Source organism: Homo sapiens, chromosome 12 (assembly GCF_000001405.40).
Source record: "Homo sapiens chromosome 12, GRCh38.p14 Primary Assembly".
Taxonomy (NCBI): Eukaryota; Metazoa; Chordata; class Mammalia; order Primates; family Hominidae; genus Homo; species Homo sapiens.
Window position 1 is genome coordinate 2,857,680 of NC_000012.12, and position 24,698 is coordinate 2,882,377.

The following is a 24,698-nucleotide window of genomic DNA, read 5'->3' on the forward strand; positions in this document are numbered from 1 at the left end:
GCATGTCCACCTTCGCTTTTATTGAGTAGTTAGTGTTCTCAAGCTGGCTCACACCCATGCGGTCAGCTGGGGCCTAGGGTGGCTCTTTGCAAAGCTGAGGGGCAAGCTAAGGAAGCCAGGCAGGTCAGGGGCCCTTTCGGCCTTCTCAAGCCTCCACCTGAGTTCTCGTCAATGCCAGTCTCCCTGGTATGATTGGGGACATTATCAGAGAAACATCTAATAGCGCACATCTGGGCACCCACACTCTGCTTCAGTTGCATCCATCCTCCCACCCCAAATTCAACTCCTGACCCAATACAAAAGACTTTTTTAACCAGGATTTCTTCTTGCAGGAAAGCTGACTTGGAAACACGGGGAGGTGGCAGGGAGGGGCAAAAAGGACTCTGGCAAGCAGATCCACTTGTCTGGGTCCCTGCAGTGAAGAACCCAAGATCCAGGTACCTCAGCCTGGAAGAAACCGTGCACTGCAGGTCTTCCCTTCTATCAAAACTAAAAGCAAGGAACAGAAGTCAATTGAAACCCCAGGTCATCCTACCCACCTTCTGGCAGTCTCTGGATAATGATCTAAGGAAATAAGCTTACATTTATAATTAGAGGATAATTTGGAGAATTTATACTATTTACACGGACCACCCTGCAAAGATCAGGGAAGGTAAGAGACTGCTGGGCAGAGAATGGAAACAGGCTGGGGGGTTCCTAATCTCTTTTCACCATTGCCTTTGTTGTTCCCACCCTTCAGCTCCTGGCAGGGACAGCAGAGGAATCAGATACTCTTGGGGAACACAAGGTCCCAGCAGTGGCTAGGGTGTGACTGCTACTTTTGCATAATCAGGCAGCAGGGAGCTATGAGGAGCAGAACAGTCCCTGCCTGCTGTCCTCACTCAGAGGCTTGGGGTGCACTGAGCCTTGGAGTGCCCGGGATGGTGGACAGCTTGAGCACAGGGGCAAGGGCAGGGCTCTACTGTAGCTCAGGAATAAACTGGGACCAGTTGATGTTGTCAGGGCCCAGTGGGTCCTCGTCCAGGCCAGGAAAGCTGATGTCCAGCAGGATCTTGCTGAGGCTGTCATTCATTGTGTCCAGGACCAGGCCTTCTGTCAGAGAACGATTGGCTGCAAGGCCAGAAACCTGTGGCTCCGGGGAGCCTGGCTTGGGGACGTCTATATCTGAGGGAGAAGAGTTGCCAAAGGGGACGGAGATGAGGTCTAAGGGTTCTGAACTGAGGAGCCTTTGCGGTGATTCAAGGGGGGGAGCACTTTGCAAGGGAGTGGTGCTGAGATCCATCAGCCCCAGGGGGTCAGGCAAGGGGTCAGAGGCACCCTGGGAGGTTTGTACTGGGCTGAAATCCAGTCCCCCTACTTTGGCTGGGGGCGTGAGCCTCCAGGATTCAGGGGTTCTGGGGAGGACAGATTTGCTCGGGGTGGAGGAGATGGGCAGCGTTTCCTTAATGGGTGTCTTAAAAGGTCCTCCCACTTCCTGGGAGTAGCTGAGCTGGGAGGCAGGGTCAGAGGAGTCTGCTGGGAACGGGAGCTCTGCGGCCCAGCGGGAAGTACTGGGCCCCTCTGAGAAGAGCAGCTCCGGCTCATCCACACAGGGAGGCAGTAGATGCTGTTTTCTCCGAGACCGGCTCCTCTCCCTCCTCTCCCTGTGTTGAATCACAAGCATTTCCGAGACACACCGGGTTGGGGACCTAAGCCCACTGTAGGACTTCTTGGGTCTTGGGGTGGGAGATTGGGACGAATCCTCCCAGGAGTGAGATGATTCCTCTTTGAAAGATGGGGCCGGGGAGGGCCACTCTTCCAAGGGAGGGCTCTCCACTTTGATGGGTCTCGCTAAGTGTGGCATTTCCTCCCCAGGCTGGATTTCTTCCTCCTTGATAGTCTGAACTGGAAGCAAAGGAGAAAACCCTTCTCCAAACAGGAGTTTCTCCTCTTTCCCTGGTCCTGCAGAAGAAAGAGGAGCTATCCCCTCCTCAGCTAGCAGCACCTGAAAGGGAAACAGAGATAAGGTGAACCAACGGTCACCAGACAGGACGCACAAAAATATCACATACGGGTTCTGATCCTCTTTGTGTCGTTTTGAAGTCTTAAAATCTATTAAATATGAGAATACGATGTATGTTGAAGTTGGTAGTTCAATTCTGGGGGTAAAAGATGCGGGTATGTAGTATGTAGTGGCATAATTATAATAGCATTCATCCGAGAGGAAATAAAATTGCATGCTTGTCTTACACTGTATACAAAGATTTAATGCATGAAAATAAGAACCTTAGGCTGCTCTGATGGTAGCGGGTAGTGACATTATTGTCACTAAAGTTGGTACACAACCCCCAACTGCTAAATTTGACTGGCTTTAAAAAAAAAATGAAAACCTTAAAATCATACAAATCCTGAAAGAGAATCTAGGAGACTACATATACAATCTGAGGGTGCGGGTGACCTTCTTAACCAAGACTGGAAACCCAGAAACTGTAAAAGAGAAGAGAGACATTTGACTACATAAAACTTTAAAATTTTACTGTGGCAAGAGATACCATAAACAAAGTTAAGAAACAACAAACAATGCCTGTAATCCCAGCACTGCAAGACACTGAGGCCAGTTTGAGACCAGCCTGAGCAACATAGTGAGATCCCATCTCTACAAAAAAATTTTTTTTAATTAGCTGGATGTGGTGGCATGCACCTGTAGTTCCAGCTACAGGTGGGAGGCTGAGGTGGGAAGATCACTTGAGCCTGGGAGGTCAAGGATGTAGTGAGCCTTCATTACACCACTGCACTCCAGACTAGGCAACATAGCAAGATCCTGTCTCAGAAAAGAAAAGAAAGGAAAGTAAAGAGATAAACAATAGAAGTAGAAAAATATCTTCAGCATAAAAGAAAGAAGATTATTTTAACAACAAAGAGCTCTCACAGGGGGCTGGGTGCGGTGGCTCACGCCTGTAATCCAGCACTTTGGGAGGCCAAGGCAGGCAGATCACCTGAGGTCAGAAGTTCGAGACCAGCCTGACCAACATGGTGAAACCTTGTCTCTACTAAAAATACAAAATTAGCCGGGCGTGGTGGCATGCACCTGTAATCCCAGCTACTCGGGAGGCTGAGGCACGAGAATTGCTTGAACCCGGGAGGCAGAGGTTGCCAAGATCACACCACTGTACTTCAGCCTGGGTGACATAGCAAGACTCCATCTCAAAAAAAAAAAAAACTCTCACAGGCTGGGCGTGGTGGCTTATGCCTGTAATCCCAGCACTTTGGGAGGCCGAGGTGGGTGGATCATGAGGTCAGGAGTTCGTGACCAGCCTGGCCAAGATGGTGAAACCCTGTCTCTACTAAAAAATACAAAAATTAGCTGGGCGCAGTGGTGGGCGCCTGTAATCCCAGCTACTTGGGAGGCTGAGGCAGGAGAATCGCTTGAACCCAGGAGGCAGAGTCTGCAGTGAGCTGAGATCACGCCACTGCACTCCAGCCTGGGTGACAGAGCAAGACTCCGTCTCAAAAAAAAAAAAAAAGAGCTCTCACAAATTGATAACAAAACCTATATAAAAATGGGCAATGTTCATAAATAACCAATTCATAGAGGACAATTCCAAGTCACCAAACATAATGACAAGGTGCTCAGACTTACTGATAAACAAAGAAAGATAAAATTAAACAAGCTGGTGATGGGTGTACCAAAATCTCGCAGATCGCCACTAAAGAACTTACTCATGTAACCAAACACCACCTGTTCCCCAAAAACCTATGGAAATAAAAAATTTAAAAATAAATAAATAAAACATTTTAAAAAATTAAGAAGATATAACCTATACATATTAGATTGGCAGATATTAAACAGACTAATAATACCAATTGCTGGCAAAGATATAGATCTTATCATATATTGCTGGTTTAAACATGACTTATCATAGCTTTTTTGGAAAGCAATCTAGCAATATTTAGTAGAATTTAAAATACCTTCTCACCCAACAATCTCACATCTGGGACTCTATCCTAGAGAAATGAAAGCACTAGTAAGAGAGATCCTTGCAAACATATTTATTGCAGTGTCGTTCATTGGGCAAAATTTGAGAAACAGAATCTGTCCATAAAAGTGGAATGGCTGAAAAATCTGTGGTGTAGCCACATCATGGAATATTACATGGACACTAAAAAATAATGAATTAGGACTATGCCAAGTGACTTGGAAGAAATTCCATGAGGCATTGTTGAGTTAGAGACATGTAGAGGCTGGGCGTGGTGGGTCATTCCTGTAATCTCAACACTTTGGGAGGCCAAGGCAGGCGGATCATGAGGTCAGGAGCTCGAGACCAGCCTGACCAACATGGTGAAACCCCATCTCTACTAAAAATACAAAAATTAGCTGGGCGTGGTGACGTGCGCCTGTGATCGCAGCTACTCAGGAGGCCGAGGCAGGAGAATCGCTTGAACCCAGGAGGCGGAGGTTGCAGTGAGCCAAGATCATGCCATTGCACTCCAGCCTGGGCGACAGAGTGAGACTCCGTCTCAGGAAAAAAAAAAAAAAAAAGAGACATGTAGAGAAGTATGCACAACATGATTACATTATCAATGTTCTGTGTGTTGTATGTGTACATATAAAATGGCTATCGCTATACATGTATAGTATAACTAAGAGCATTGATAAAATATGCAAGAAAGCATCATAAATTATCAACCAGTTATCTTGGGAGTAGGGGTGATGTGGGTGATGGTAGGGTGGAGAGGGAGCCAAAAAGGAAAGGGGAGAAAACCCACTGCATGAAAACCCAAACAGGGCACATGCTACGGCCACATGAATGAATTTACGCTAAATTATGTATGTGTGGTATAATTTTGTGTGTAATATGTTTTATTTATAATTAAAGAAAATGTTTTTTAGAGACAGGGTCTCATTTTGTTGCCTAAGCTAGAATGCAGTGGCACGATTATAGCTCATTGCAGCCTCCAGCTCTGGAGCTCAAGTAATCCTTCTGCCTCAGCCTCCCAAGTGGCTGGGACAACAGGTATACATGAAAATGCCTGGCTAATTAAAAAAAAATTTTTTTTTTTTTGTTACAGACAGGGTCTTACTTTGCTGCCCAGGCTGGTCTTGAACTCCTGGCCTCAAGTGATCCTCCTGCCTTGGCCTCCCAAAATACTAGGATTATAGGTGTGAGCCACTGTGCATGGCCTAAAAGATTTTATATATTAAAAAAAAAGCAAACCCAAGTCGCTCTAAACTCCAGACTCTATGCTATTTTCATCTCTCTGAAGGGGATGGGGGAAGCTTTTCACTTTGGTTACATGTCAGCCCGTACTCACAGAACCCTTTAACAGTGTTAAGTGCAGATCTGATGGCTGATCCAAGTTGGCTCTGAATTTACCCTTCTCACCTTCCCCTCAAGCTAGACCAGTGATACTCAAGCAGGGGTGATTCCCTCCCTGCCAGGGGACATTTGGCAATGTCTGGAGGCATTTGGATTGCCGCGCCTGTGGTGGGTGCTACTGGCGTCTAGTGGGGAAAACAAGGGATACTGCTAAACACCCTTCAGTGCACAGGACAGTCCCTCCCACGCCCAACAAAGAATTCTCCAGCTGTCAACGTGAATAGTACTTGAGAAACCCTGAGTTAGTCTGACCCAGTCACTTTACTACTGCCAGGTACGAACTGCATTTCCCGCCTCCATGGCACTGCCCATTAGCATGCTCTCTCTACACCTGTTTGCTTACCCAAATCTACTTTTTTTCTTTTCTTTTTTGAGACAGGGCCTCACTGTTGCCCAGGCTGGAGTGCAGTGGTGCAAACAGGGCTCACTGCAGCCTCAACCTCCTGGACTCAAGTGATCCTTCTGCCTCAGCCTCCTGAGTAGCTGGTACCACAGGCATGTACTACCACCGTGGCTAATTTTTTTTTTTGCATTTTTAGCAGAGACTGGGGTCTTGCTATGTTGCCCAGGCTGGTCTCGAACTCTTGGCTGTAAGCAATACCCCTGCCTCGGCCTCCCAAAGTGTCGGGATTACAAGTGAGACCCACAGCGTCTAGCCTCAAATCCACTTCTTTCTTTTCTTTTTTTTTTTTTGAGACAGAGTCTCGCTCTGTCACCCAGGCTGGAGTGCAGTGATCTCGGCTCACTGCAACTTCCCTTCCTGGGCTCATGTGATTCTCCAGCCTCAGCCTCCCAAGTAGCTGGGATTACAGGCATGTGCCACCAAGCCCAGCTAATTTTTGTATTTTTTAGTAGAGACGGGGTTTCGCCACGTTGGCCAGGCTGGTCTCAAACTCCTGACCTCATGATCCACCTGCCTTGGCCTCCCAAAGTGCTGGGATTACAGGTGTAAGCCACAGCGCCCGGCCAAATCCATCTCTTTCTAAGGCCTGCCTCCCTTGTGTATCTTCCTTAATAATCCTAGCCCATCTATCACAATCACTTTTGTCTGAATTCTTACAAGCTCATCAGGTATTTATGGGCCTTCTGACACCACTTACATTGTAATCCAAATACCTTTTTAGCTCTTCTAATGCTATTACACTTCCCTATGTTTTTATGCCTTTTCTACCCAACTAGATTTATAAGCTCTCAAGGAACACTTATCAGAGTGCTTTGCAAGCTGAAGGTCCAACATTCTTAATTGGCCAGAATCTCTCTTCAGAGGAAAATAGGACACCCACCTTGGGGGCAATGCGGACTCGCTTGCTATGGCGGGCAAGCTCTGAGCTCATGAGGGAAGCCGCCAGGGGCAATGGCACCTTCACCGAGGGCTGCAACACCAGTGACTGGTTCACCGGGAACTGGATAGGTACCAGGTATGAGCTGACCCGTGGTAGCAGTGGCTTCATCTTCCGCCCTAGGAGGAAACACGAGAGATCAGGAGCAGGGGGACTGGAGTACACCCCTTCTCAGCCCCAGGAGCTTTGCTCTCCTTCTCTGGGCTCAGATCCCTTTGAGGTGGGAACAGAATCCCAGAGTCTGGTTCCCTAAAGATATGGCCCCAGAACAAGGACCAGGCCCAAGGCCCACTCTCCCATACTAACGTGCGCCCAGGGGGAGTTCGGTTTTGATGGTCATGTTCCGGCGGAGCTCTGGATTCGGTCGTTTCTGCTGCTGCTTGTGGCAGATGGGGAGAGAAAGAAACCTATGTTAACACAATAAGGTAAAGAGGGGATGGCAAAACCCCACCAGCTGCTCTGGTGGTGTGTGCTTGAGTTAATGACAGCCCAGAGAGAGGAGGCCAACCTGAGGGGATGGACGTAGGCGAGCAGTCTCCAAAACTGTGATGAGTGGGCAGGTGGGTGGCCTACAGACACATGATGGCAGAGTGGCACTACCGCTTCACCCACGTGTCCTCAACACCCCTGGGGGATGCCAGAGCAGGTAGCTATATGCGTGGCAAAGAAAAGCTAGGCACAAAAGTGAGCGAACGAACTGCCGCCCCTGAGGCTGGTGCCATGCGCTTGTGGCTGCTGCAGCATGCTCCCCTGCTGTGCCCTGCTCTGCTCAGTGTGCCCTTGTGATGCCCATGGAAGGGGAGGGAAGTGGGTGTGTGCCTGACCCTCAGGGTGTTCTGTGTCTAGGGCTGGCACCTAGACAAAACATGGCCATAGGGACCCTTCCCCACATCACATCTTGTCTCTGTCCACTAAAGCCATGCTGAGCAGTGAAAGGAAAACAAGGCCAAGCCCCGAGCCAGAGGGAAAGAACCTTACTGATTCCAAGTGCTCGGGCAATTGTGGAGACCCTGGGTCCAGTGGCTGGTGGCGGCCAGGCATTGTGGGAGAGAAATGAGATGAAGTTACCACCAACGTGGTCAATTTGACCGGATTGGGAAAAACACTTATTCCTGACTGATGACAAAAGACACCCCAGACAACTGCCCCTCCCAGGAGAATGGTTACAGCTACCAGCAGCCTTATGGGCACTCTGAAAAACCAAAATAACTTCTTTCTGAAAAGACGTTCTGGTAGCTCAGCTTCTGGTCTCCAGCCTAAGGCAGGCTTTTTTTTTTTTTTTTTTTTTTTTTTGAGACAGACTTTCACTCTTATTGCCCAGGCTGGAGTGCAATGGTGCGATTTCAGCTCTCCACAACCACCGCCTCCTGGGTTCAAGGGATTCTCCTGCCTCAGCCTCCCAAGTAGCTGGGATTACAGGCATGCGCCACCACACCCAGCTAATTTTTGTATTTTTAGTAGAGACGGAGTTTCTCCATGTTGGTCAGGCTGGTCTCCAACTCCCGACCTTAGGTGATCCACCTGCCTCAGCCTCCCAAAGTGCTGGGATTACAGACGTGAGCCACCACACCCAGCAGGAAGGGCTTTTTTTAGAGCAAGCATTCCCAGAATTTCTTGTAAGAATCACCTGAGATGCTTGCTAAAAATACAAATTCCTGGGCCCATCCCAGAAGCACTAAATCAAGAGCCCCAAGAGAGGGGTCTGGGAAGCTGTGTTTTAACAATGTCCCAGGCAATTCCCATTCACAGGGAAGTTAGGAAAACACTGCCCTGGGGAGCCCTTTCTGTTGGGTCAGAACAGCCTTCTCCTTGCTCTGGTCTGGCACAAAAATGTGTCATTTGGTATTTGTCAAGTGTACTTAATTCACTGGGTTTTGTGCAAGTCACTAATTGGGTGGCTGGCTTCTAACTCTCCCCTGATCAAATGAAAGCATCACTAGCAGAACTTGTTTCCTTTTGAGATGGCTATGACAACCTCCAACTTAGGCCCTATTTAGAGGAAAGCAGGGCATTCACCTTAAACACCTGGTCCAATGTCAAGTAGCGGTTGGCACTGGGGTGAATGGTCCAGAAGGAGACCTTGCCATTGGCAGACGTCTCCCGGACAAACATGTCGTGCAGGGAAAGGTTGTGGCGGATGGAGTTCTGGAAGAAGAGCAAGACAACTGGTTATCAGCTACTTTAGATTCAGAAACATCACCCTTCAAACACATGGGGAAACCAGCCTCAGGCCCCTCCCACTGTGCTCAGCACAGGCTTCGTCTGGTGTCTTTGCAGCCCTCTTGGCAACTCTCCTGACACTCCACACCGCAGAGCCGTCACCTTCAGCCATAAACCCATCTATTCTACGGGAATAAAGACTGATGCCAACCTTAGATTGTGATAAAGAAAAGACCTAGATAGCTGTCAGGGGCTAGAAAAGCAGAGTAAGGCTGTGAGGTAGTGATCAATAGCAAGAAAGGTGGCTCAGAGAAATTAAGAAACTAGGGAATTAGGCCCGGCGTGGTGGCTCACGCCTATAATCCCAGCACTGTGGGAGGCCAAGGTGAGTGGATCACTTGAGGCCAGGAGTTTGAGACCAGCCTAGCAAACATGGTGAAACCCTGTCTCTATCAAAAATATAAAAATTAGCCAGGCATGGTGGCGCATGCCTTTAGTCCCAGCTACTCGGGAGGCTGAGGCAGGGGAATCACTTGAACCTGGGAGGCAGAGGTTGAAGTTAGCCAAGATCATGTCACTGCACTCCAGCCTGGGTGACAGAGTGAGGCCCCGTCTCAAACAAACAAACAAGAAACTAGGAAATTAAGGCTGGGTGTGGTGGCTCACGCCTGTAATCACAGTGCACTGAGAGGCTAAGGCAGGAGGAGTGCTTGAGACTAGGAGTTCAGACCAGCCTGGGCAACATAGTAACCAGCCTGGGCAACTGTCTCTACAAAAAAAAAATTAGCGGACTGTGGTGGTGCACCTGTTATCCCAGCTACTTGGGATGTTGAGGAGGGAAGAGCTTGAGCCCAGGGGGCTGAGGCTGCACTCCAGCCCAGGCAACAGGGTGAGACCCTGTCTCAAAAAACAAACAAACAAAAAACTAGGAAAGTAAGCTGATGGAAGGGAGTAAAATTAAAAGTTCTACCATGAATTAGCCAGGCGTAGTGGCGGGCGCCTGTAGTCCCAGCTACTCGGGAAGCTGAGGCAGGAGAATGGCGTGAACCCAGGAGGCGGAGCTTGCAGTGAGCCGAGATCGCGCCACTGCACTCCAGCCTGGGTGACAGAGCGAGACTCCATCTCAAAAAAAAAAAAAACATAGTTCTACCATGAGGGGCCAGGTGTGGTGGCTCATGCCTGTAATCCCAGCACTTTGGGAGGTCGAGACGGGTGGATCATTTGAGGTTAGGAGTTCGAGACCAGCCTGACCAACATGGTGAAACACTGTCTCTACTAAAAATACAAAAAAATTAGCCAGGCGTGGTGGCGCATGCCTGTAGTCCCAGCTACTCGGGAGGCTGAGGCAGGAGAATCGCTTGAACCTTGGAGGCGGAGGAGGTTGCAGTGACCTGAGATCTGCCATTGCACTCCAGCCTGGGTGACAGAGCGAGACTCTGTCTCAAAAAAAAAAAAAAAAAAAAGAAAGAGTTCTACCATGAGGAAAACAAAGCACACTTGACTTGGAATTGAGCACCCGTCAGAAGACCTCATTTGTGGCTCTGACACCGACCAACTGCGTGAGCTATGTTGACTCACAGGCATCTCGGTCTTTCCATGAATGAAGTGAAAGGAAAACCCCTGCCCACTAGAAATGCTATGTGACGCTACAGGAGATGACATCTTGGGTCATGAGGCTCACAGACAGCATTTTTTTTTTTAATCAAGACATTTTCATAAAACTACTTAGCCACTCTAGCTGCTGGCATCTAGGACGGCTGTTGAGTGTAGCAGAAAAGTGGGCTTGAGTGCTACATTGAAGACCCTCCATGGACTTTAGGTAGTAACACATGAAGTAGTTAAGGAGCTCTTCTTAATGATTTTGCCTGGATTCAATAAGATTGAGTCACAATCTAAAAGATACATTTGTTTATCATTCTAGTGTCCTTTGCACTTAACTGCTGTCCCAGATACAAGTTGCAGTACAGCACTGGAGAGACTGTCAGGCTGGGCTGACCTTGATTTTGGTTGCTGTGGGACACATTACCTTCCAGCCTGGCTTGGCAATGTGCTTAAAGTAGGGAAAGTGGTCCTCAATCCACGTATAGATGTCTTTCAAAGTCATGCGCTTCCTCTCAGTGCTGTTGATGGCGAATTGTATCATGGCCATGTAAGAGTAGGGTGGCCGCTCAGACACAGAGTTCTGCCAGGACGCTGATGGTCTCGAAGGCTCCTCAACCTGAGGGTTATGACACAGGGAATGACATGAAAGAGTTCATGAGAAGCACCCCCAACCCAAGCCCTTGAAGAACATCTAGAGAAACCTTTATCCCATAGGACGGTCTAGAAACAAACTCATCTGAGACCACTATCTCATAGAATAAAATTTTAGAGTTGGGAAGAATCTTGGAGATGATCTAGCCTAGACCCTAGCCAATAAGAAACTGGTTTTGTCATCCATCATTTTGTTGAATTTGGAGAAAATCCAGTCCCTTCCAGTTGAAATTTCTTAGGAAAGTTTGAGTATGTACTTTGATTCTCAAAGCATTGATGTTACACTAAAACCACGCCCGTTTTTCAGACTTTTGGGTCTAGAAACCTAGGTCTTAGTCCCATTTCTGTTCCTGATGTGCTGTGAATAAACGCATCTCATTTCAATGTTTGTATGAGAGAAACATTCTCAAGACTATGAGTCAGACAATGTCTGCAAAGCACACAGTTAGCTAAGTTTTAGGCAAAGAGCTGATCAATCACATTTCTTTTTCTTTTTTTGAGACAGGGTCTCACTGTGTCACCCAGGATAGCGTGCAGTGGCTGGATCACAGCTCACTGCAGCCTTGACCTTCCCAGGCTCAGGTGATCCTCCTGTCTCAGCCTCCAAGTAGCTGGGACTACAGGCATACACCACCACGCCCAGCTAATTTTTTTTTTTTTTTTGAGATGGAGTTTCACTCTTGTTGCCCAGGCTGGAGTACAATGGTACGATCTCGGCTCACTGCAACCTCTGCCTCCTGGGTTCAAGCGATTCTCCTGCTGCAGCCTCCCAAGTAGCTGAGATTACAGGTGCCTGCCACCACGCCCAGCTACTTTTTTTGTATTTTTAGTAGAGATGGGGTTTACCATATTGGCCAGGCTAGTCTCGAACTCCTGACCTCAGGTGATCCACCCACCTTGGCCTCCCAGAGTGATGGGATTACAGGCATGAGCCATTGCGCCTGGCGATTTTTTTTTTTTTTTTCGTATTTTTAGTAGTAGAGACCAGGATTTTGCTATGTTGCCCAGGCTGGCCTAGAACTTACGGGCTCAAGCAATCTGCCCACCTTGGCCTCCCAAAGTGCTGGGATTACAATTGTCAGCCGCTATGCCCGGTCTCATTCACATTTTTAAAATTGGAGATATTACTTTCTAAAGTACACAAATTTTATGTATATAGCACAATTAATATTTACTTACATATACACGCATGTAAATTTTCACTTTTTTTTTTTTTTTGAGACAGAGTTTCACTTTTGTTGCCCAGGTTGGAGTGTAATGGCACGATCTTGGCTCACCGCAAGCTCTGCCTCCTGGGTTCAAGTGATTCTCCTGCCTCAGCCTCCCGAGTAGCTGGGATTATAGGCATGTACTACTGCACCCAGCTAATTTTGTATTGCTAGTAGAGGCGGGGTCAGGCTGGTCTGGAACTCCCGACGTCAGGTGATCCACTCACCTTGGCCTCCCAAAGTGCTGTGATTACAAGCATGAGTTATCGCGCCTGGCCAAATTTTCACTTTTAAAGATTGTTGAGCTGGAGGCTATGATCCTAAGCGATTTAATGCAGGAACAGAAAACCAAATATTGCATGTTCTCACTTATAAGTAGGAACTAGGCTGGGTACGGTGGCTCACGCCTGTAATCCCAACACTTTGGGAGGCTGAGGCGGGTGGATGACGAGGTCAAGAGATTGAGACCATCCTGGCCACCATGGTGAAACCCCATCTCTACTAAAAATAAAAAAATTAGCCGGGCGTGGTGGCGGGCGCCTATAGTCCCAGCTACTCGGGAGGCTGAGGCAGGAGAATCACTTGAACCTGGGATGCAGAGGTTTCAGTGAGCAGAGATTGTGCCACTGCACTCCAGCCTGGCAACAAAGAGAGAATCCGTCTCAAAAAGAAAAAAAAAGAGGCCGGGCGCAGTGGCTCACGCCTGTAATCCCAGCACTTTGGAAGGCCAAGGCAGGTGGATCACGAGGTCAGGAGTTCAAGACCAGCCTGGCCAACATAGTGAAACCCCATCTCTACTAAAAATACAAAAATTAGCCGGGCGTGGCAGCGGGCACCTGTAATCCCAGCTACTCAGAAGTCTGAGGCAGGAGAATCACTTGACCTGGGAGGTGGAGGTAGCAGTGAGCTGAAATCGCAGCACTGCACTCCAGCCTAGGAGACAGAGAAAGACTACGTCTCAAAAAAAAAAAAAAAAAAAAAAAAAGCAGGAGCTAAACATTGAGCACACATGGATATGAAGAAGGGAACACTAGACACCAGGGCCTTCTTGAGGGTGGAGAGTGGGAGGAGGGGGAGACAGAAAAACTACCTAGCAGGTACTATACTCACTACCTGGGTGACAAAATCATTTGTACACTAAACCCCAGCGACACACAATATACCCATGTAACACACCTGCACATGTACCCCCTGAACCTAAAATAAAAGTTGAGAAAAAAAAGAAAATAAAGGTTGAATGAGTGATTTACACATATATACAATAGAATCTAGATGTGTTATATTGGTAACTGTGGGAAAAAAACCCAGACTACACAATTGGGTTAGATCAATTTTGATTGCTAGAGAAGTATTTAAAATTCGTATCTAGGCCAGGCTGGTGGTTCACGCCTGTAATCCCAGCCCTTTGGGAGGCTGAGGCAGGAGGATCACTAGAGCCCAGGAGTTGAAATCAGCCTGGGCAACATAGCGAAACCCCATCTCTACAAAAAATACAAAAATTAGCTGGGCATGGTGGCATGCACCAAGCTGGCAAGTCCCAGCTACTTGGAAGACTGAGGTAGAAGGATCAGTTGAGCCCTGGAGGTCGAGGCTGCAGAGAGCCATGACTGCACCATTGCGCTCCAGCCTGGGCAACAGAGCAAGACGCTGTCTTAAAAAAAAAAAATATATATACGTGTATATATATAACTGACTTTATCTGCTATTAATATTATATCTTCTAATAAAATTAACTTGTTGTATTCTATTCAATTCATACTGTTCATACTGTTGGGAAGCATCTTTAAAGTTCAGGTGGATTCCCAAAATGAAGACCTCTTAATCATTTCCTGAATACCTACTAAGGACAAAATACTAAACCCAGTGCTGGCTGGAATACAGAGTGACCAAGGGACTCTGCCCTCAAGGAAATTTCACAGATGGGAGAGAAAAGATCCCAGGCAGAAAAATAGCTCAAAAGTTATGCAGAATAGCATGAAGTGGAGAGCTAATACCAGAACTTGGAAATTCTGGTCCATCAGGCCACTTGATCCATTTCCCTACCTAGGAATTCCCTACACTGGATCTGATTTCTTTAGTGAGGGACGGAACAATTCACCTTAACCTGTCGCTGCTCCAGGTGACAATTCTCCTTTTCCTCCATCTCTTGCTTGATGCTGCGGGAGCCCAGTCCATCAGAACTCATCTTTCGAAGCCACTGGATGTTGGATAGGCTATTGTTGATAGTGCAGCCTGCTGCCTCACCATCTGCTAGAGGGAAAATAATCCAACACCCCACTTAGCTGCCTCATCAGATGCCCAGGTGTGTCCATCAGAATTGGTGGCTAGCAGGCCGGGTGCAGTGGCTCACACCTGTAATCCTAGCACTTTGGGAGGGCGAGGCGGGTGGATCTCCTGAGGTCAGGAGTTCAAGACCAGCCTGGCCAACATGGTGAAACCTCGTCTCTACTAAAAATACAAAATTAGCTGGGTGTGGTGGCACACGCCTGTAGTCCCAGCTACTCAGGAGGCTGAGACAGGAGAATTGCTCGAACCCGGGAGACGAAGGCTGCAGTGAGCCAACATTGCGCCACTACACTCCAGCCTGAGTGAGACTCTGTCTCAGAAAAATAAAAAATAAAAAAGAAAGAATTGGTGGCTAGGGATCACTTGTCCAAGACCTCTGCCTTTAGGGACGGAGAACACATGCTGAATCTATTGTGGCTCTAAGTTACTCTGCCCCATTATGCATTTCAGGACAAATTTAGGAGCATAGTTCAAATTGCATTTCAAGCTGAGCCACACTGAGCCTTAGAGATCAATCAAGGCAGGCTTACAAAAGAATTATTGAGATATGCACACCAAAAAAGTCACTTTTCAGCCTGGGCAATATAGTGGGACCCCATCTCTGCAAAAAGAAAAAAAAAATTAACTGGGAATGATGGTGCATGCCTATAGTCCCAGCTACTTGGGAGGCTGATGTGGGAGAATGGCTTGAGTCCAGGCATTCGAGGCTAGAGTGAGCCGTGATTGCGCCACTGCACTCTAGCCTGGGTGACAGTGCGAGACCGCATCTCTAAAGAAAAAGTCATTTTCCTCCTCTTGCTTCAGTTTTCTCCTTTATCAAGAAGGAAAATGAGGCCAGGCGCAGTGGCTCACACCTGTAATCCCAGCACTTTGGGAGGCCGAGGTGGGCGAATCACCTGAGGTCAGGAGTTCAAGACCAACCTGGCTAACATGGCAAACCCCTGTCTCTACTAAAAAATACCAAAATTAGCCAGGTGTGGTGGCGGGTGCCTGTAATCCCAGCTACTCAGAAGGCTGAGGCAGGAGAATCACTTGAACCCAGAAGGTGGAGATTGCAGTGAGCTGAGATTGCACCACTGCACTACAGCTTGGGCAACAGAGCAAGACTCCATCTCAAAAAAAAAAAAAAAAAAAAGAAGGAAAATGAAGTCAGGCGCTGTCGTTCATGCCTATAATCCCAGCACCTTGGGAGGCCCATATGGTTGGATCCCTTGAGCTCAGGAGTCCGAGACCAGCCTGGGCAACATAGTGAGACCCCTTCTTCATTTATTTATTTTTGAGACCCCTTCTTTTTTCATTTTTATTTTTTTTTTTGAGACAGAGTCTCCCTCTGTGGCCAGGCTGGAGTGCAGTGGCATAATCTCAGCTCACTGCAACCTCCACCTCCCAGGTTCAGCGATTCTCCTGCCTCAGCCTCCAGAGTAGCTGGGACTACAGACGTGTGCCACCACGCTCGGCTAGTTTTTTTATATTTTTAGTAGAGACGGGTTTCACCATGTTGGCCAGGCTAGTCCAAACTGCTGACCTCAAGTGATCCGCCCGCCTCAGCCTCCCAAAGTGCTGGGATTACAGGGATGAGCCACTGTGCTCGGCCAGAAGCCTGACTGTTGTAAGCATCAAGACTGACTACACACCTTGCCACTACAGAGGAAAGGCTGGGCTCCCTCACCCCTTTCCCTGGAAGACCACATACCACAGGTCTCCCGTTTCTGCTCGCAAAGGGCTCCAGGTGGTCTAGGAAGATTCACATCCCTAGCTGCAGGTTTTGGTCCCAAGGTCTCCAGGGTCACTTCTGTCCTTTTGGCATCATAGCTGGTTTGGGTTTGAGGCCGGAGTCCTGGAGGCTGAGTTGGGGCTCCCCCACAGCTGATGAGGATGAATTTGTTGGGCCCACTACTGCCACTCTCTTTTCCCTTGGCAGTCAGTGCTGTGATGATGCTGTGAATATTAGCATTGTTGGGGATGGCCACTACTTGCGTGTTGGGCATGGTGGGGTGGTTAATAATCTTGATCCCAGCTGGAAACTTGCAAGAGTTGGACTCTGCCACTTCCTTGGAGGCCTCTGCTTGATTAGACTCCTGTTGGGCAGGGGATCTCTTAGGTTCCTCCTCTGATGTTTCACTTGGGGCATTTTGAACAGGAAGGGGCAGCCTCCGTCTTTTGAGAATCAGTGGCCGACGGGGGCTAGTTTTCATTATGAATCTGCGTTTTCACTCTCCATTGAGAATCACAAGTGTGGACCCTGGAAAATGCAAATAGTGGCAAGATGTTAGAGATTGTTTAGGCTGAGAAGAGGTCCTTTTAGAGAAAGGTGCTCCTCTTTATATGACCAGGAACATGAGCCTAAAGGCCCAGGTAAACATTCCATGGACTTTTGTAAAGACCTCAGATAATAAGGAGATAAGCTTTACTGACAAAAGAAGGCTAAAATTACAGCAGACAGAAGCAATTCAAAGGGCAAAAATGGGACTGGGTTGGAGATAAGACAAAGATCTCCTTGAAGCTTCAGAATATTTGGCTACAGAAATGGATGGGATAGCTACAAATATGTGGAAATCTCTATAATTGCCTACTATAATATAAATAGATCACTTGCAATGACTGTATGGACAGAAATGGAAGATGCTAGAATAGGAAAGCATATGGTAATTAGGAGTCCTGATGAAACTCTGATCCCATAATCCATTCAAGACAAAGGATTTTAATTTTTTTTTTTTTTTTTTTTTTGAGACAGAGTCTCACTTTGTCACCCAGGCTGGAGTGCAGTGGCACGATCTCAGTTCACTGCAACCTCTGCCTCCTGGGTTTAAGCGAGTCCCACGTCTCAGCCTCCTGAGTAGCTGGGATTACAGGTGCCCACCACCACGCCCGGCTAGTTTTTGTATTTTTAGTAGAGACAGGGTTTCACCATGTTGCTCAGGCTGGTCTCAAACTCCTGACCTCAGGTCATCTGCCCGCCTCGGCCTCCCAAAGTGCTGGGATTACAGGCGTGAGCCACCGCGTCTGGCCAAGCCTTTTGATTTTTATATTACTTTGTAAATAGGACCAGTGCACACAGAATCAGGGAAGAAAGGCAGATTGTACTATTGCCACACTACTGGAAAAATCATCTCCCAGTTTACAAAACCTCACATAAAATGGAAACCTCTACTGAAGGCCCATGTAAAGTTGTGCAGCTTGTGCACTGAACAACTCTAGAGGGTGACATTTATTTCACAGGCTATTATACTTGCTCTAATTTAAAAAGCATGTTTTCTTTTACAATTTGTATTGTATTTATACAGTGGCATTTTAGTACTTGCATGTGGTTATATATATTTTAACTAAGCATGCCACTTTATTAATTTCTTTTCCAGAAATAAGACTATAACCCCTGTCTTCTTAGTACCACAATGAGCTATCATCATTACACTAAGGTGGTTCTGAAATGCTAACAGTGTAGTCTTTTTTTTTTAAGTCTTTTGTTGATTTTTTTTAATTTTTTTTTTTTTTTTGAGACGGAGCTTCGCTCTTGTCACCCAGGCTGGAGTGCAATGGCGCAATCTCAGCTCACTGCAACCTCGGCCTCCCGGGTTCAAGCGATTCTCCTGCCTCAGCCTCCCGAGTAGCTGCAATTACAGGCATGCACCACCATGCCCAGCTAATTTTTTTTTTTTTTTTTTAGTAGAAACAGGGTTTCACCATGTTTGCCAGGCTGGTCTTGAACTCCTCAGGTGATCCACCCGCCTCGGCCTCCCAAAGTGCTGGGATTACAGGCGTGAGCCACTGCGCCCGGCCTTTTGTTGATTTTAATAGATACATGGAATATTCTACCATTAAGCAAAATTGTGTAATTCTATTTCACGGAACTTTGGAAGACAGAGGAATTGGCTGTCTCTTTTTTAGGACACTTATTCTCTCCCTGAAAAGCAACTGCACTTTTTTGACATTTGTCATCTGCATAGAGTTCACAGGCCCTCCACACCTCTACCTTCAAATCTCAGTTTTACTTTCACCTCCGATCTTTCCAGGCTTCCCTCTCTCCCCGCATCAATCAGTAGATATTATTCCTCTTTTTCCACAGGATATCTAAGTCTTAATTTTCTCTTCTACTTCCTGACCAGCCCGTTATTATTATTGCCAACACTTTCTTGCCCGGGAAACTTCCAGAGTGGCTCCTCCGACCCATCCCCATCCTGAGCGGGGAAATCTTGCTACATTCTCAAGAACCAGGAAAAGGGCCCTGCAAAAGGGTAAGTAAGATGGAGGCGGTGTTGCCTAGTGGTGAGACAGCCTGGGAGCAGGGGAGTGTGTATGCAGGTTGGTCTTTGACTCAATGTAGTACAATCTCAGTCTTCATCTCAGCCACAGTCGGCCTAAGAAGGTAGGCCACCCCAGCCCTCCCGAGGCCGCGGGCAGGGTGCGGAGGTCAGACTTCCAGGGAAGGCCAAGGGGCGCTTTAAGCAGTGAGAAGGCCACGGCCAGGAGGTGGACGCAGAAAAAACTTGCACCCTGGCTCAGATTCTTCCCGTGTGACCCAAATCTCCACTCGTGGCCCGTGCCCTGCTGCTAGACGCCCTGACCTCCGCGCCCGGAGGCCTTGCTCCCCGCCTGTGCCCAGGCCAGGCCTGGGACTCCATTGCTGCATCCCGCTCACCTCCAGACTGCAGTCGCCGCCGCCGTTAGGCCGTAGCTCCGAAGGCGGGCTCCGGGCTCCTCCAACCTGGGGGCCGAGCCAGGGCCCCGGACGGGGGCTCGCGCCGGACCGGCCGGGTCCCCGGCGGTGCGGGCGGGGTGGGAACCCCGGGGGATCCCGGGAGGGGAGGGGGTCCCGGGCCGGGGCCGGGGGTGGGGTCTGGCACCGGAGCTTTCAGTTTGTTCCGCTGTTTGAAATTGGCGCCGGCGGAGCGTTAAGGTCACGTGACGGAACGTCGCCAATCGGCGCCGGCCTTGTCTCGGCATTCCGGGCTCGAAGGCTGTGCGGTCTGCCAGGAGCTGCGGCCCCGTCCGGCCCGGGCTGGTAAGGCGGACCGCAGGCCGGCTTGTGGGGGAAGAAGTGGCCGTGGGGCCGGGGAGGGGCCGGAGGGGTCCCCGCCGCGTGGGTGGGCGAGCCGAGGGAGAGTTTGGGGACGCGCGGAAGCGGCGTGACAGGCCCGGGTCCCTGGGCCCGCTTTTCCTGCCGCGCTGGTCACGCCAGGCGACACGCCCCCGCTTCCCCTCAGGCTCCTCTGCTCCCCTTTTCAAAGCTCGGCTTTAGTTGATTTCCTCACTGGGGGAAATCGTACCCCATTTTCCCACAGTGAACGATCGTCTGCTCCCCCCGATTAGACTAAGTTCCTTTGAGGGCTGCGTATTATCTCCGCTTTCTTCCATCTTGAAAAAAAATGTCGGCACCATGAACCCTACCTCAGCGCGAAACCTGTCTTTTGCCCCTCCCGAAGCCAAGCCTTCGGATATAATAGACCGTAGTGCTTTATTTATTGACTTAGTCAACCAGTCTAGTTGAGCAACTGCTGTGCGCCAGGCACCGCTAGGCCCTGAAGATACAATGGCAGACAAGGTTCTTTCCTTCCCCTGGGCTCACAGCCCAATCCTGGAAGAGGGGCACAGACATTTTAATCAAATAAACAAATGTGGGCTGGGCATAGTGGCTCACGCCTGTAATCCCAGCACTTTAGGAGGCCGAGGCGGGTGGATCACTTGAGGTCACGAGTTCGAGACCAGCCTGGCAACATAGCGAAACCGCTTCTCTACTAAAAATTAGCCGGGCGTGGTGGTGCGTGCCTGTAGTCCCAGCTACTCTGGAGGCTGAGGTGGAAGGATCACCTGAGGCCGAGAGGTGGAGGCTATGGTAAGCCATGATCACACCACTGCACTCCAGCCTGGGCGACAGAGGGAGACACCGTCTCCAAAACAAACAAATGTTGAATTATTGCTGTAAATTGAAACATTAGAGGTTAATGATACTTTGAGTATTTACAATAACGAGATCTTGAGAGGTAGGACAGGAAAGGCTTTTGTAATGAGAGCTTGGTGTGAGATCTGATGCCTTTTACAAAGAAAGGAGGGAACTCCTCTAAGCAGAGGGAATCAGGCGTGCAAAGGCTGGATGGCAGGAGGAAGCACAGTGAGTACAAAGGCTGAGAAATATCTGAGGGGTTTGAGCTAATCGACCTGAATGGAGTGTGGTGTGAGTTGAAGCTGGAGCCGGAGGAAGCAGAGCCTTAGCCATACCGAGAAGTTTTGTGCTTATCCAAGAATTAAAGGAAACCAGTCATAAGCTTTAAGCAGAAGTGAATCCAGGTCAGATTTGCATTTTAAAAGGTCCCTCTATAGCGGGGATTGCTAGAGTGGATTAGGGCAGAACAGTTGGATGTTGCAATACTCCAGGCAAGAACTGCTGGAGCTTGAAAAAGGGTGGCAGGGAGAGAGAGAGAGGAAGAGAAAGAAGGAGACAGAGAGAGTAAAAAAGGGGCATTAAGAAAACATGTTTAAGAGGTAAAGTTGACAGGGCTTGATGGTGGGTTGGATGGGAGGTAGAAGTGTCAAGATTTTCAGCTGCATAACTGAAGGAATAATGACACTATTCCCTGACCAAGGGCCCTGGAAGATAATCACTTTGGCCAAGGGACGGGCGGGGGGTTGTCAGGGGAATGATCGTGAATTCAGTTTTTGTTTTTTTACTACAAAGCAATGCTCAGAATGAGTTTTTTTTTTAATTATATATTTATTTTTATTTATCTTTTTATTTTTTAGAGACAGGGTCTTGCTCTGTCCCCCAGGCTGAAGTCCAGTGGCATGACCTTGGCTCACTACAACCTCAACCTCCTGGGCTCAGGTGATCCTCCCACCTCAGCCTCCTGAATGGCTGGGACCCCCTACAGGCACATGCCACTACACCCATCTAATTTTTGTATCTTTTGTAGAGACAGGGTCTCACTCTGTTGCCCAGATTGATCTTGAACTATTCGGTTCAAGTGATCCTCCCACCTTCACCTTTCACAGTGTTGGCATTACAGGCATGAGCCACTGTGCGCGGCCAAGTTCAGTTTTAAACTTGTTGAATTTTTTTTTCTTTTCTTTTTTTGAAACAAGGTTCTGGCTCTGTCACTCAGGCTGGAGTTCAGTGGCACGATCTCGGCTCACTGCAGCCTCCACCTCCTGGGCTCAAGTGATCTGCCCACCTCAGCCTCCTGAGTAGCTGGGACTACAGGTGCACGCAGCCGTGCCCACCTGATTTTTTGTATTTTTTGTAGAATTTGGGTTTCACTGTGTTGCCCAGGCTGGTCTCAAACTCATGAGCTCAAGCGATCTGCCCACCCCGGCCTCTGAAAGTGCTGGGATTACAGGCGTGAGCCACTGCGCTCAGCCTTACACATGTTGAATTTGAGGTGCGTTTGAAATATCTAGTTGCTGTTCAGGTAGGTAATGGGATATTTGGGTCCCAAACTTAAGGAATTCTAAAATATATAAATATTGAAGTCATCTACTTCTAGGTGGATACTGAAATACAGGCAGATGAGTTTGCCTAAGAAAAGTATATAGAGTGAGAACAGCTCCAAAGCACAACCAGAGGGGAAGGACTTAGACAGCAGAATGAACTGACCTCTAATTAGAGCAGAAAGAAGATAGATGTTGATACGCATAGGTTTGTATATTTGCTTTCTGGAAAATGAGAGTATTTCCTTTGATGTCTTCTGTATTCTTTGTCAAGTAGGAAGTAAAGTCATTTGTTAAGAGAAAAGGGGTGTTCTGAAGTTCTAAGAAAGTGGGCAGGGTGTGGTGATTCACATGTAATCCTAGCACTTCAGGAGGCTGAGGGAGGAGAATCACTTGAGCCCAGGAGTTCAAGCAAGACCTCATCTCTACAAAAAATAAAATAAGAAACTAACCAGGTGTGGTGGTGCTTGTCTGTATTCCCAGCTATTCGGGAGGCTGAGGCAAGAGGATCTCTCGAGCCCAAGAGTTTGAGGCTGCAGTGAGCTATGATCGTGTCACTGTACTCCAGCCTGGGCAACAGAACAGGACCCCATCTCTAAAAATAATTTTAAAAATTAAAATAAAAATGTTCAGGCTGGGCGTGGTGGCTCACGCCTGTAATCCCAGCACTTTGGGAGGCCGAGGTGGGCAGATCACCTGAGGTCAGGAGTTCAAGACCAGTCTGGCCAACGTGGTGAAACCCCATCTCTACTAAAAAATACTATAATTAGCTGGGCGTGGTGAGGGCGCCTGTAATCCCAGCTACTTGGGAGAGTGAGGCAGGAGAATCGCTTGGACCTAGGAGGAGGTTGCAGTGAGCCGAGATCACGCTACTGCACTCCAGCCTGGGCAACAGAGTGAGACTTTGTCTCAAAACAAACAAACAAAATTTCCACTTTATTTATTTATTTTGAGATAGGGTCTGTCTGTCACCTAGGCTAGAGTGCAGTGGCACGATCATAGCTCACCATATCTTCAAATTCCCAGGCTCAAGTGATCCTCCCACCTCAGCCTCCCAAGTAGCTGGGACTACAGGTACATGCCAACATGCCAAGCTAATTATTCTTTTAAATTTGTAGTAGAGACGAGGTCTCTCTATGTTGCCCAGGCTGGTCTTGAACTCCTGGCCTCAAGCAGTCCTCCCATCTCAGCCTCCTAAAGTTCTGGGATTACAGGCGTGAGCTACTGCACCTAGCTTGGAGAAGTTTTAAGATAATCTTTGTGGAGAATGAGTTGATCAAGGAAACAGGATTGCTGAGCAACGTACCCATTTGAAGCTGATGACTTTCAGCAAGTCATGAATTTCAAAACTATAGCCATTGCTACCACTGTTATCTTTTCACTGGATTTCTGTGGTAGCTTTTTGTTTGTTTGTTTTCTAGACTGAATCTCGCTCTGTTGCCCAGGCTGGAGTGCAGTGGCGTGATCTCGGCTCACTGCAACCTCCGCCTCCCGGGTTCAAGCGATTCTCCTGTCTCAGCCTCCTGAGTAGCAGGGATTATAGGTGTGTGCCATGACGCCTGGCTAATTTTTGTATTTTTAGTAGAGATGGGGTTTCACCATGTTGGGCAGGCTGGTCTTGAACTCCTGACTTCAAGTAATCTGCCCGCCTCAGCTCCCTAAACTGCTGGTATTAAGGGCATGAGCCACTGCGCCCGGCCTCTCTATACTTTTTATTCCTTTCCGACTAGAATGTAAGCACCACAAGGGCAGAGGTTTTATGTTATTCTCTGGTATATATTTTCAGCACCTGGAACAGTGCCTAGCACACAGTAGGCACTCAGTAAATATTTCTCAAGTGAATGAATGAGTGAATGAACAAATGGATATATATATTTTTTGTGTTTTCTATAAGATGTTAGTTCCTTAAGAATAGAAACTTTGGCTGGACATGGTGGCTCACGCCTGTAATCCCAGCACTTTGGGAGGCCGAGGCGGGTGGATCACGAGGTCAGGAGTTCGAGACCAGCCTGGTCAACATAGCGAAACCCCGTCTCTACTAAAAATACAAAAATTAGCTAGGCATGGTGGCGTGCGCCTGTAGTCCCAGCAACTCATGAAGCTGAGGCAGGAGAATCGCTTGAACCCAGGAGGTAGAGGTTGTGGTGAGCCAAGATCGCGCCACTGTACTCTAGCCTGCGTAACAGAGCAAGACTCCATCAAAAAAAAAAAAAAGAAAGAAAAAAAGAGAAACTGTGTCCTTTTTTTTCTTAACCTGTATCTCTACTGCCTAGTCATATAAGTCAAAGCATATTATTTTTTGTTGTTGATTGAATGGATCACAAATGCATAGAACCAACCTGCTCTGTTGTGTCTTTCCAGCATGCTCAGCTGCAACTCTCATTTACCTCTCTACCTATTGCATTCAACCTTGTGTCCCACCATTCCACCAAAGAAGCCCTTATTAAAGTTGATCTGGGCCAGGCGTGGTGGCTCATGCCTGTAATCCCAACACTTTGGGTGGGCGAGGCAGAAGGATTGCTTGAGCCTAGGAGTTCCAGACTAGTCTGGGCAACAAAGCAAGACCCTGTCTCTACAATAAATAAATAAATAAATAAATAAATAAATAAATAAAACTTTAAAAAAAGATGCTCTAGGCACCTTGTGAGAAAAGTCGGGTTGGAGATGGGGGTGGA

General features: G+C 48.0%; 3 protein-coding genes across 37 annotated transcripts in view, besides 3 other annotated features; 2 read left to right on the plus strand and 1 right to left on the minus strand.

Moving 5' to 3' along the window:
* Positions 1 to 2,112, plus strand: part of ITFG2 (integrin alpha FG-GAP repeat containing 2) — a 47,124-nt gene extending 45,012 nt beyond the window's left edge. The window contains exons 15-16 of the transcript NR_147202.2: positions 333 to 652; positions 1,855 to 2,112. The gene's annotated coding sequence lies outside the window, so the exon portion shown is untranslated. The remainder of the gene's footprint in view (positions 1 to 332; positions 653 to 1,854) is intronic.
* FOXM1 (forkhead box M1) lies at positions 1 to 19,495 on the minus strand. Of its 29 annotated transcripts, XR_931507.2 has the most exons (11): positions 19,241 to 19,495; positions 16,298 to 16,846; positions 14,417 to 14,568; positions 10,884 to 11,075; positions 8,714 to 8,842; positions 7,676 to 7,720; positions 7,206 to 7,266; positions 7,004 to 7,073; positions 6,641 to 6,816; positions 3,700 to 3,733; positions 1 to 1,984 (listed from the first exon to the last, which is right to left on the minus strand). XR_931507.2 is itself a non-coding variant. In NM_001413938.1 (10 exons), exons 2-10 carry the CDS (start codon positions 16,797 to 16,799, stop codon positions 1,971 to 1,973), a joined length of 1,311 nt encoding a protein of 436 aa, NP_001400867.1. In that variant the 5' UTR covers positions 16,800 to 16,846; positions 19,241 to 19,495; the 3' UTR covers positions 1 to 1,970. The 29 variants fall into 29 exon arrangements, 28 of the variants coding, with proteins under 28 accessions (NP_001400867.1, NP_001400855.1, XP_047284503.1 ...); NM_001413938.1 differs by lacking the exon at positions 7,206 to 7,266 and having other exon boundaries at positions 14,417 to 14,565; NM_001413926.1 differs by lacking the exon at positions 7,206 to 7,266 and having other exon boundaries at positions 3,620 to 3,733; positions 14,417 to 14,565.
* RHNO1 (RAD9-HUS1-RAD1 interacting nuclear orphan 1) overlaps positions 18,586 to 24,698 on the plus strand; it is a 13,260-nt gene continuing 7,147 nt past the window's right edge. For 6 of the 7 annotated variants that reach the window (NR_046432.2, NR_027365.3, NM_001257097.2 and 3 more), the window contains exon 1: positions 19,544 to 19,603. The gene's annotated coding sequence lies outside the window, so the exon portion shown is untranslated. Of the gene's footprint in view, positions 18,837 to 19,543; positions 19,604 to 24,698 lie in introns of those variants that run through there. The other variant, NR_046433.2, reaches the window with a different exon arrangement.
* Positions 19,251 to 19,320: a silencer, noted in NCBI's record as "silent region_4134". NCBI's record gives its function as "represses an Ori minimal core promoter by ATAC-STARR-seq in GM12878 lymphoblastoid cells {active_cell/tissue: GM12878}" and the evidence as "EXISTENCE:reporter gene assay evidence [ECO:0000049][PMID:35858748]".
* Positions 19,361 to 19,800: a silencer, noted in NCBI's record as "silent region_4135". NCBI's record gives its function as "represses an Ori minimal core promoter by ATAC-STARR-seq in GM12878 lymphoblastoid cells {active_cell/tissue: GM12878}" and the evidence as "EXISTENCE:reporter gene assay evidence [ECO:0000049][PMID:35858748]".
* Positions 21,384 to 22,337: an enhancer, noted in NCBI's record as "H3K27ac-H3K4me1 hESC enhancer chr12:2988229-2989182 (GRCh37/hg19 assembly coordinates)". NCBI's record gives its function as "activates a minimal SCP1, AML or CMV promoter by ChIP-STARR-seq in naive H9 embryonic stem cells {active_cell/tissue: H9 hESC(naive)}" and the evidence as "EXISTENCE:reporter gene assay evidence [ECO:0000049][PMID:30033119]".